This window comes from Homo sapiens, chromosome 4, assembly GCF_000001405.40.
Source record: "Homo sapiens chromosome 4, GRCh38.p14 Primary Assembly".
Classification (NCBI taxonomy): Eukaryota; Metazoa; Chordata; class Mammalia; order Primates; family Hominidae; genus Homo; species Homo sapiens.
In genome coordinates, this window is record NC_000004.12 from 174,489,881 (window position 1) to 174,502,293 (window position 12,413).

Consider the following 12,413-nt stretch of genomic DNA (forward strand, 5'->3'; position numbering starts at 1 on the left):
CAGATCTCTTCAGTATGCTAAATTTATAGAGAGCAAAAGTAAGGAGAAATTGTCATATAATCACTTGAATGTTAAATGATATTACAAGTGTCTAAATTCATTTTTACATGAGAAAATAAAATTTGTAGGACATTTCAATGCATTATCAAGTCTTGATCTTTTTCTCAATGTCTACGTATTTCTAGTGTTGCTGTTCTGAGAAGTACCAACTTCATTTTACTAAGAAAAACACATTGGAAAAATATATATACCATTTACATTAGGATATTCACTGAAAAATACAAGAAACCAAGGTCCCCCTCCCCTAACTTCAGTTTAATTATTTTCTCAATCAGTATACACCAGAGATGCCATATAACCATATGAATTTATTTAGAGCTACCTATAGAAGGTAAGATTTAAAGTAAGTTTTTAACTTATGTAACTCACATTTTTCAATTCTACTTGATATTTGATTTTAAATGTCTACATAATTTATTGATTTGAAAAAATTAATTCAAAGCAGAATGTATATTGAAGGCTACTAGTCCAAAAAATTGTCCATAAATGAAAAGGTTATACTATTTACACGACAGAGGAAAAATACAGAAGATAAGTGATACTGGGCAAACCGACATCATTTACTGATTAGTCACTGCCAGAACATACAAACAAGCTTATGCCTGATTACAGTTTATCTCTATCAGATGTTCATTGATGTTCACTACTTTGTCTTTAATACATTATATGAAAATCTAGACCAGAGTTATTAATATTCAAATTACTCCTTAAAAGTGAAGGCAATTGTTTTCTATAGCAGAATTAAAATAGGGCAAGATATGACAACATTCCAGTACTTCTAGGAAATCCATATCAATCTCACATGGAAAGATTTGGCTTCAAGCTGGGAGGTCTGGAGTTAGCAGACAGGATGAGTCACTTATACGATATTTTTTTGAGAAAACGACTGATTTGGAAATCTTGTGCTTTCACTGTTACTAGTGTTAATTACTGCTTGCAAAGAGTTTTACCCAAAGCAGGTGTATTTAATGATTCTTAAGATAGCTGACAACAAAAAAAGCAAAACCTCACAGCTATTTTTATGTCTGTGTTGTTATGAGTTTCAGCATGGGTACAAAAACATTTACAGTTGTGGCTGTGGCAAAATTGGTTTTATTTCCTTGATAGCTATACATAGAAGACTAAGTAATTTATGGAGATCAGAATAAAAAAGTTTTATTGAAGGGTAGGCACTTTTGAAATTTGGACAAGTCAATAAAGAAGTAATTTGAAAAAAATATTACATTTGCATTTTTTTCTTGTTGAGCATCTTAAATATAATATTTTTGGAGTACTAACTATTCTTTATTGCTGTAACTGTTAAAAGTTTAATTCCTGAGATTTTTGGAGTCGGTAAAAGTTCTTAAAGTGAGCAGAGGAAAGAAATGTCTTTCCCAGATAGGAGGCTGAACTGTGAATCAACAGTGTCAATCAGTTACTTTCTGTCATTTTTCCATACAGCAGTTTTCATCTGGGATATGTTTACACTGTAGTTTATTCCTTGACTGCCCCCAAAATATACTACTCTAAGAAGCTCTTGGAAGAACTGAAATGTTCAGTTGAAAGATGGTATATAAGTAAAAATTATTATTGTGAAATATTTGTCATTGTTAAGTAGCTTTCCTCTTTTAAAGTATGAACTTGTATGTGAGTGTTTTACATCTGGTTTGATTTAAATAACAATTCAAGTATCTCCTTTAAAATGATGTTCTGAAGAACATTAATATTTATGAAGCACAGATATAAATACACTTTCTGAAAGGCAGAATATTGAATATTCCTTGAAAATCATTTGTTTTGATCATTTTTTAGACTATCAAGATTACAACCTAGCCTTTGGTCCACATCACATTTTTAATAGTTCATAACTTTTTATCCATATACTTAACTAAAAATTTAGAAAACGTTTATCACCAAGTGCATGAAGGAAAACTTCAAACTGTAACATTTCATTTAAAAGCTATATTCAAATGAAGATAGGATCTGAATATAAGCTATTTGTGCTTATTTTCAGCTATGGCTAACACATAAGCTGTTCATTGGGTTTTTGCTTGAAATGGAGTTGTATCATAGTCTTGAAAATGAATTCCCTTAGAAGTTGTGATCTTCATAATAGCACCATTTAAAGCATCATCTTCAATGAGTGTTATCAATCCATTGGCAATCAATGGTGGGCTAAAAATAAAGAAAACAGTATTTTGAAACGAAAGAATGAGGCATATTACCACTTCATTTTAAGTTATTTTCTGAAGAATCTATTAAGTTGAACATGTTATAGGGAAATGTGTGTCATTAAACTATTGCTACTTCCAATTTTTATTTAATTCCATATTAGATATCTAGATTAGATATCTTATTTATCTAATTTATTCAATTAGATTTCTTTCAATTGGATATTAACTAAATTATTTGATAAATTTAGCTGTAACCTTCCATCATTTTGGCAGGAGGAATTTATACTCATTATTTTCACTGAGCAAATGATCATTTTCTCATCTTTATCGTATCAGTAGATCTTAGACTTACCAGATATAGATGTTATTAGTGTAGAAATATGATTGGTAACAGCTAGCATTTACTGAAAATTTTATTTTTTACCAGTTACCATTTTAAGTACCTTGTATGTATCATTTTATTTAAGTTTTTCAAAGTCCCTAAGTCTGTTGTATTATCTCTATTTTATATGTGAGAAAATTGAAGCATCTAGAGGTATGATGGGTAAGTTCATGGTTAGTGGTAGAGCCAAGATTTGATCTCAGGTCTGATTCCTTCAACATGATAACTATGATTCATGAAATCCTCAGTTGCTTGAATTCAGACATAATTCACTGAGAAAGTATGTGTCCATGTATGTGTGTGTATCAACTATTTCTTATAAAAGTGGTTGAAGTCATGGAAACTTGCAATATTTCACAGACTATATTTGAATATTGCTTGGAATTTAGGCAGAGAAGGTATCATTGCCTTCAAAGGTGACTAAATATCAACTTTATGACTGATGGTAGTAATGAAGCATTTTACATATTTCAAAGTAACATTCATAATGTATAAACTTACATTCTATTTATAAACCCAGAAAAATATATTTTCTCCCAGAGAGTTTGCCAAACCAAAAGTTTGAAGCTTGTGTTCATTTCTCAACTGTATAAGCTTATTTCTTCCCTTTTTATAGCTTATCTAAATAATGCTTTGCTTCATCATTTAAAAGAAAATAGACATAGTTTTACTTACTCCAAAATTCCATAGTATTTAATCATATCCTTGATATGATCCTTATATTCTATATATTGTCCCATGTTTTCTTCTTTTTCAATTGATTCAAGGATGGCTGTGTTAACAAAGCCTGGACAAATGGCATTCAGTCTCACACCACTGTTCATAAGATTAGCAGCCAACTGCCAATTAGAAGGTTGTAGGTTTCAGCAGTTTCATAAACATATAGCACAGGACAAACTGATCATTAAAGCATCTTACAATTTTCTGATGTAAAAAATACTAATTAGATATCCTCCCAGCTATGTAACAATGACTGGTAAATAGATAGTAAAATAACACATACATAAAGTATTGTATTAATTCCTGAAAATCTCACCTAATTAATTTTTTTTAAAAATCAGTATTACTGGACAACTCCTGGAAACAATTATGTAAGCTTCTCTTATCTACTGAACTCTGCAGGAGCCTGAAGCTAAGTAGCTGAGACTTAGAATCGATATCCCAAGTGTTATTTCAAATATGGTGGTTGTATAACAAATAATACTTAATTAAAAAGACTTTTAGTGAAAATGTTTAGAACTTTGATTCTAAAGACACTCTTAATAATCTGTCCTATCTGGAAGACAATTTAAGTATTTTCAGACTAACATTATTTGGCTTAATTTACAAACTATTGATTTTATTTGCAATTATTAAAAAATTAGTCAATTCTCATTATTCATGGATTACATATAAACAAATTTGTTAAATTTGCTTGCTAAAATTTACTTGTAACCCTGGAAATCAATACTTGTGGAGCATTTGTAGTTATTTGTGGACATGCACAGGGCAGTGAGAAATTTGAGTCACCGATGTGCATGTTCCTGCTGAGGTCAAGTAAGACTATACTCTGTCGTGCCATGTTTTTCTAATTTTGTGCTTTTTTATTGGTGATTCTGCTGTTTAAAATGGCTGCCAAACCCACTGCAGAAGTGCTGTGTAGTGTTCCTTAGTGTAAGAAGACTGATGTCCTGTACAGAAAATATTTGTGTTAGATAAATTTTGATCAGGCATGAGTAATAAGTGCTTTAGTAATGAGTTCAATGTTCATACAACCTATGATAAATAAGGTTCTTTAAACAGGAATACACATAAAATAAGGTTATGTATTGACTGGTTGATTGGAGTTTTGTGACCAGAGGCTTTCAGGAACTTAACCCTCTATTTCCCCTAAAAGCAATGGTTCAGTAGTCACTAATGTAGTGTTTGTAAGTGACTTCATGGAACATAACCACCATGCATACTGAGAATTGACTGTAGAAGTTTCCAGTCTTGTAATTTTAAATATAAAATTTCTGGTCTTTCAGGTTTACTTTGCTTTGTAAGAGAGCTTTATGTGTTTATAAGAAGTCTGTCTGAAGATTATGTCTTTGCAAATTAAGCAATAATTTCCAATCAATTTAAGAGTGTGAGAACTACTTATCTTCCATTTTGACTGAACAGTTAACATTTGTGCATCTGTTTTTTCTGTCTCCTACTAATTCTTTGATTACTAATATTTTTCTCTTCATCTCTCTAGCTGCTCTCTTTGTCTCACCTAGATGAACCACCCAGAGACCCCCTACAACTGTTCTTTCCGCTTTTACACTTGTCTTTTGTAACACAATTTGCAAAAGCAGACAGAATGGTCTTCTTAAAAAGGAAATCTGATCTTATCACTCCTGCGTGTAAAAGCCCCATGGATGGTTGCCCTTGAAATAAAATCCAAGCTCACAACAGTGGCCCATAGCTGCTTTTGGTCTAGCTCCTGTGCTGGTGTCTTGAGTCATACCTCAAACTACATTCCCTTTGCTTGCCAGGCCCCTTTCAAGCGTCTCTTTTGTGAGTTATAAAAAGGCAGGCATTCTCACCTCATGCTGTCAATGCATGTGATCAATTAGGTCTAAAGTATTTTTCTAAGGTCTGTGCACCTTTCACCCTAGGCCTCCATGGAGACATTATCCTTGACCACTCTATCAAGTAAATGCCTGGCCCCACCCCTCCTTCCAGCTCCATGTTCTCACTCCTTTTCATCGTATCTCTGGTGACAAATAATGGCTGGGGCCTATTGCATCTTGCATTTCAGAAAAGCTGAAGTTAATAATATTTCCATTTGGGGTCATTTTTGGAAATAAGTACTATCTCCCCATTACTTATCCTTAATACATTTTTTTTAAATAACACATCTGTATTTAGAATCCACTTCATTTAAAAATGATCTATTATTTATTTGGTTCTTTATGTGATCTGATAACTTTTTATAATTGAGATGGAGGTATGTCATTTTTCCACCTTTCATCCAAGTGATTTCTCAAGTGATTCCTCTCTACAGAATTCATGTTTTATAAATGTGTACAAAGAGAAAATGAGATATGACGGTTGTTGTAGCCTCACCGCTGCTGAGCGTGTGAATCCAACTATGCCATGCTTTGAAGCACAATAAACCGGCTGCTGTGCAACGGGCATGAGTCCTGAAACAGACAAATATAACATTTAAATGCTTTGATGAAAAAATAAGTAGACTATACCCAGTAATGAAAATGCAAATGAATATTTTGTGATAATTTCAATTTAAGATGAATCTGAATAACACAGTAACATAAAACCAGATAGCTTTGTGAAACTCAGTAGCCTAAGTGTAGTTTATTTGCTCCATGACCCGTGTCGTCCAGAATTTATAGTAGCTAAGTTACACAGAGATACAGCCAAGAGTTATATGTGTTTTTCTGCCTCCCCAGGCCTTCTGGAAAGTCAAGGAAAGTAAATGGTATCTAAAACACAAAGAAAATCATCTTTAAAGTCAGTAAATTACCACCTAAGTTTCCATTTTTAAGTCTGGATTTTAAAAAGTATATATTCTACATTTTTAAAGCTTCCTAATGGCTGAAGGAATTTGAATCTTCAGAGAGTCTTGGAGATTATTAGTCTTCACTACAAATTAGTATGCAATTTCCTGTCACCAATCTGTCTTGAACAATGCCTCCAAAAGTTTAAGAAAATTAAAAGTTAACTTCTTCTTTTTATTTGATCTATTGTAGATGCCTAGATCTTTTTGTCCTATGACTTAGGAAGATAGAAATAAACATTTGTGGTCCTATTTTATTTCCTTTCATAATTATGTAGTCAACTATGAAATTCAATCAATTACAGAATGTTTTATTTTGTAATTTTCCACATATGCACAACAGTAACTGATTAAATTCATGGTCTGGAGAGAAAAAACAGTATAGCATATACCTATAGCATCTCTTCTCCCCCAACTCCAGCCTAGCTCAGCTCTCCGAAAAGACACAAAACAACAACAATAAAAACCTATTTTACTCTAGTAACTATTATTATCAAGCTTATTTCTCAAAATTGTTAATTATCTAATCAGCAATCAAATTGAACCAGAGTCATTCTTGTATTTGTTTTTGACTAATTTGGATTAACTTGTTTTAATGCTTTTTAAGTTTGTGACTTCTCTGAGTCAAGTAACAGTGATCCCTGATTATTATACTATATTTAATATCAAATGTCATGCTAATAATACCAAATTATTCTGCTGAGACATGCTCATCTCCACCCAGCTAACTATTCCCAGAATGCCACCAATCATTTGAGGGTGTTGGGCCAAAGTTCAGCAATAAATGCAGACCATAACCACTCCCTGGGTGCCTGCCAGGTTTCAATTTATAAAGTATGTTTGCACAAGGGCAGTTTAAATCCCTGAGGATGGTAGATCACACCTAGTGTGTCCACCCAATGATTTCAAAGTATTGTTAATATGTTGCTTCTCTTGTTGTCATTGTTGTTGTTAAGTAAAATGTGTAAGTTAATTAAGTTTGTCAGTGTCAGTCAACAAGAATTTATGATGTTTCCACAGGCTACATAGGTATACTAGGAGTGGAAGATAAAGGGAATAAAAAAGTATAACCAGGAGTTGCTGCTTCTGGTTCTTGTTAGTCCCTGCTTTACCCATTCCTTAAATGTTTATGAGACAAAGGCAGTGGTTTCAGGACAATGTTCATATATAGCAGGAAATGCAGCATGAACCTTAATCAGAGATAAACTAGTTCACACAGCCGCAAGAACTACAAAGACATTGTTCATAAGAGTTGTCAAAGATGAATTTGAAATGAATTTTTGTTACATATGCAGAGATGATGAACTTTGGAACCCCAGCTAGTTCAAGGTGTCATAGAGGCGAAAGAAATATACTGCTTTGTGGGTTCTGGTAATAAGCAAAGACAACATACATACTTTCCTTAAAGGTGGATTCGTAAATGCAACTGGAATGTGAAAGAAATTGCTTGCAGTTTTTAAATGGCAGTTGGTTTTATGAATCTTGTAACATTCTAATCACATTTTCACTGCTATTCTGCAAAATGTTTACCCTTGCATTGCTTTCACTTTCTTTTCTTTCTTTTTCTTTCTTTTTTTTTTTTTTTTTTTTTTTTTTTTGAGACAGAGTCTCGCTCTATCAACAGACTGGAGTGCAGTGGCCTGATCTCTGTTCACTTCAACTTCTGCCTCCTGGATTCAAGGGATTCTCCTGCCTCAGCCTCCCAAGTAGCTGGAACTACAGGTATGCGCCACGGTGCCCAGCTAATTTTTGTATTTTTAGTAGAGATGGGGTTTCACCATGTTGGCCAGGATGGTCTTGATTTCCTGACCTCATGATCCACCTGCCTTGGCCTCCCAAAGTGCTGGGATTACAGGCATGAGCCACCATGGCCGGCCTCACTTTCTCTCTCTCTCTTTCTCTCTCTCTCTCTCTTCCCCCCGCCCCATACCTTCCCTCCCTTCCTTTCTGCCCCCTTCTCTCTCTTTTGAGACAGAGTCTAGCTCTATTGCCCAGGCTGGAGTGCAGTGGCAGGACCATGGCTTACTGAAGCCTTGACCTACTTGGCTCAAGCAATCCTCCCATCTCAGCCTCCTGAGTAGCTGGGACTGCAGGCATTAGCCACCACGCCCAGCTAATTTTTGTATGTTTGGTAGAGATAGGATTTCACCATGTTGCCTAGCTGATCTTGAACTACTGAGCTCAAGCAATGCACCTGCCTTGGCCTCCCAAAGTGCTGGGATTACAGGCCTGAGCCACAGCACTGGCCCCTCACTTTTTAGTATTAGATGAAAACCTACACAAATCAATTTCAGACATTCAGAAACCAAGTTTCCTTTTTTCATTTTTTTTTTACAGCTTCATGGAGATCTAATTGACATACAATAAAACTGCACGTATTGAAAGTATACAGTTTGATAAGTTTTGACATATGTATATACCAATGAAACCATGACCAGTCAAGATAATGAACATGTCCATCACCCTAAAAGTTTCCTTGTGCCCCTTGGTAATCCCTTTCTGCTGCCCCTCTCCTCCCCACAGGCAACCACTGATCTGCTTTGTGTTACTATACTTTGCATTTTCTAAAATTTATATAATGTAATCATATAGTATAAATTATATTGTTGTCTGACTTTTCACTCAGGATAGCTGTTTTGAGATTCATCCATGTTGTAATGTGTAAGGAACATTCTATTTTTTTCAATTGTTTCATTTAGTCAAGTTGTTAATTGAAGTTTTTTTTTCTTTTTTTCCCTAATATAGGTAGATTTTAACTGGTGCTTCTTATGTTTTGAACAGGCAGGGTGGATTTGCAGTGCTTTCTCTCCAACTTGCAAACTGACTCTCAATGTAGAAATTTACTACCTATACTTCAGTTTGTTGCTTTGAAAATGAAGCCTAAATGGAGGGAGAAAAGCTCTTGTTGTTTTATTATTTTTGACAATGATTTTAGTTGGGGGTGGACATTTTTTAGGAATCCAACATTTTCTACTGCATCTGATTCATTTTTCTTCTGTAGGTATAGTATTATTGCTACTGTGGTGTAGCTTCAGGATTGGTTAACCACGCTTCCACTACTTACTGTAGGCCCACAACACCAACATAGAATTTGTTTCCATGTGCTTCAAATAAAAATTGTGTTCTGGGGCTGGTAATAAGGGTCAGCTCATAGAGTTAGACTAAGTGTGCACGGTATGACTCTGGAGACACAATTTACAAGGTAGTTGGTGTAAACTGTGCCGCTTATGTTCCTACCATTTACAACCTGCACAACTATACATGGTAGTCATCTCTTGGAGAGTAGGTGACTGAGCAAAAGGACAGAATAAACCAGCCCAGGTAGGAAGAGAAGCAATTAAGTGTTGTGTAACAGAAATTACGGATGAAAGTATTTTAAGAGACTTAAAATGGTCACTGATATCAACTGCAGAAACAGAATCACTCTGAGATATAAACATATCTCAGTTATTACCCATCTAAAAATAATACTTATTTTTTCTCCAGCTACCACCTTGTTTCTCTTTTCAATGGAAAGTCCTCAGAAGAGTTATTATATGCCTTGCATTGTCTCCACTTTCTTGACCTCCTATTTGCTCTACAACTCATTCCCATCAGGCTTTCATCTGATCACTCCAGTCAAACAGATCTTATGGAGGCTGCCAATGAGCAATGGTTTGCTAAGGCTAAATCTCTGTCTCATTTTCCTTGATCCCTTCCTCAGCAGCAACTAGCACAGCCATGCTTTCCTTGAAACATTTCCTCCTCCAGGCTGGTCTCCTATCTCACATTCACTGGCAGCTTCTTCTTCATGTCTTTGGCTGGCTCCTCTTCCTTGACTAGACCCATAAACATGCTGGAAAACTCCAGAGATATACCTGGTCCTCTTTGCTTTTCTATGAACACTCTTTCCCTACATGATTTTATTCACTCCTGAGGATAAAAATTAATTCTCTCAATTTGTCTCTCTCAATCTTTGTATGACACACACACACACACACACTCAAATTTAAAATACTTATCTCAAGCCAAGACCTCTTACTCTGCCTTGAACTCTAGAGAGGGAGCCTTGGGTTACTTCTTGTAATATTTCCTAGCAGTTTTCTCTCCTTAAACTATAGTGGGTGCTCAGCCTGGGCAACACAGTGAGACTCTGTCTCAAACAACAAACGAAAAAGAAAATATGATAAATATCAGATGTTATAGGAAATTTCAAATTAAAACAACAATGAGATTCTACTACACACATTAGAATGGCTAAAATTTAAATGCTGAAGACACCAAATACTGATGAATATGTCAAGAAACAAGAACTCCAATTCATTGCTGGTGCGAATGCAAAATGGCACAGCCACTTTGGAAGACAATTTAGCAATTTCTTTCAAAAGTAAACATGCAATACAATCCAACATTTAGTTCCTTGGCATTTACTCAAAGAACTGAAAACATGCTTGCACAAAAATCTGTGTGTGGATGCTTATAGCAGCTTTATTAATTGCCAAAACTTGGAAGCAACCTAGTGTCCTTTAGTAGTTGAATGAACAAATAAACTGTGGTATATTCAGATAATGGAATAATATTCAACTCTAACAAAGGGCTATCAAGCCATGAAAAGATATGGAGGAAACGTAAATGCATATTACTAAGTGAAAGAAGCCAACCTGAAAAGGCTACATACTGTATGATTCCAACTATATGACATCTGGAAAAGGCAAAACTATGGAGACAGTTGAAAGATCAGTGGTTACCAGGAGGTGGTGGGAGGAAGGGATGAACAGGTGGAGAACAGGGTTTTTAGGGTAGTAAACCACTCTGTTTGATATTATAGTGGTAGATATATGTTATTATACCTTTGTTCAAGCCTACAGATTGTACAACATCAAGAGTAAACCAGATGAAACCTCAAATAATTATTTTATTGACCTATTTATCGGTTCATCCACATTGTACTTTTTAATGAAAATGTATCTTTTGCACTAAAATGCCACAAATCTGGTATAGTGTCCTAACTTGGTTTGATTTCTGAACCTTGGCAAACTGGACTGTTTCTAATCTTAAATCAACAGGCTCTACAGAAGTAAATTCACATAAGAACTATGTGTTTAGTTCCTTTTAAATGCAAAGTATAATGAAGTAATATTTTAAATATACTCAATTGAAGTGTGTAAAACCAATGGGAGGACCCCTGTTGCAGGACGAAGGTGGAATTTTACCGGTTGAAGAGCCAGATACCAGTATAATGACTATAGGACCAGTTACTATAACTAATATGGGTTTTTTTTAATCTTGCAAATTAATTCTCAAAATTAGGGAGCACATGGAAATATTCTGTCACAACATTAAGGGATTTAAGAATAGCAACAACAATAAAACAAAGGATTGTGACCATGTGAGAGCAGTCTCTGCTTTTAAAGAAATGGCATTTTGTTTAACATTGTGAGAAATCCTGTGTGCTTAAAAATAGATACCTTATATTAAAATAGTTAAGAACAGTATTTTTCAGTACCTCTGATAGGCCCACCATTGTGCAAGTTTATTTATAGAAATACACAATGGCTCTTTTTAAAATATACCAAGTATAATTAGTAGCAGATTTATGTCTGTCACAACTGTAAAGTTACAGAAAAAAAAATCAGTAGAGGGAGAAATTCTACCCACAAAACAAAGAAATATTTTCTAAAACCACTCAGGATAATAACACTAAACAATTAGACTGACGAAATAATATATATAGCACTTAAAATACCTGAAAGCATTTAAAATATCTGAAAATTACATGTGTACTAATAGAACAAAGAAAGTCATTCAGAAAAAAAAATGTAAATTCCATCTCTACATTAGTTCTTCTATTCTTCATAATCTTTCTACCCATATTTACAAAAGCCAGTTTTAATCATTTCACAGAAGGTAAAAAAGCTCAAAAAGATTTTTTTGCAAAAACAGAAACCTCCTCAGACAGGGCAGTCATACTAAATCCGCAAACAAGATTTGCTTTTAAGGAGAGAGAAACCATGTAGAATGGACTATATAAAAATGCTGAAAATTCAACTTAGGGAAATAAATGGTGAATCTAAGGATGCTGATACTCGTATGATAACCTGGAGTTCTGTAACTACGCTAAAAAAGCAGGAATCTAAAGCTGTCACATTTTCTTTACAACCAACAACAACAAAAAAATGTGTACCCGTCTGTCTGTTTTAACCACCACTTCTCCAACTTGAAGAAAAAAGGGAGAACTAGCAAGAAATATTTATCTACGATTCGTGCATACACCTGACCAAAGTAACTGGTGAACTTCCTCATTTGTGATTTTCCG

The 12,413-nt window shown here is 34.5% G+C and overlaps 1 protein-coding gene across 6 annotated transcripts in view; it reads right to left on the reverse strand.

Annotated features, from left to right (window-relative positions):
* HPGD (15-hydroxyprostaglandin dehydrogenase) overlaps positions 295–12,413 on the reverse strand; it is a 32,719-nt gene continuing 20,600 nt past the window's right edge. For 3 of the 6 annotated variants that reach the window (NM_001256306.2, NM_001256307.2, NM_000860.6), the window contains 3 exons: positions 5,668–5,744; positions 3,271–3,434; positions 295–2,214 (listed from right to left, as the gene is read on the reverse strand). In NM_001256306.2, coding sequence (NP_001243235.1) covers positions 2,076–2,214; positions 3,271–3,434; positions 5,668–5,744 — 380 coding nt within the window. In that variant the 3' untranslated portion in view covers positions 295–2,075. The remainder of the gene's footprint in view (positions 2,215–3,270; positions 3,435–5,667; positions 5,745–12,413) is intronic. The other 3 variants (NM_001256301.1, NM_001145816.3, NM_001256305.2) reach the window with 3 other exon arrangements.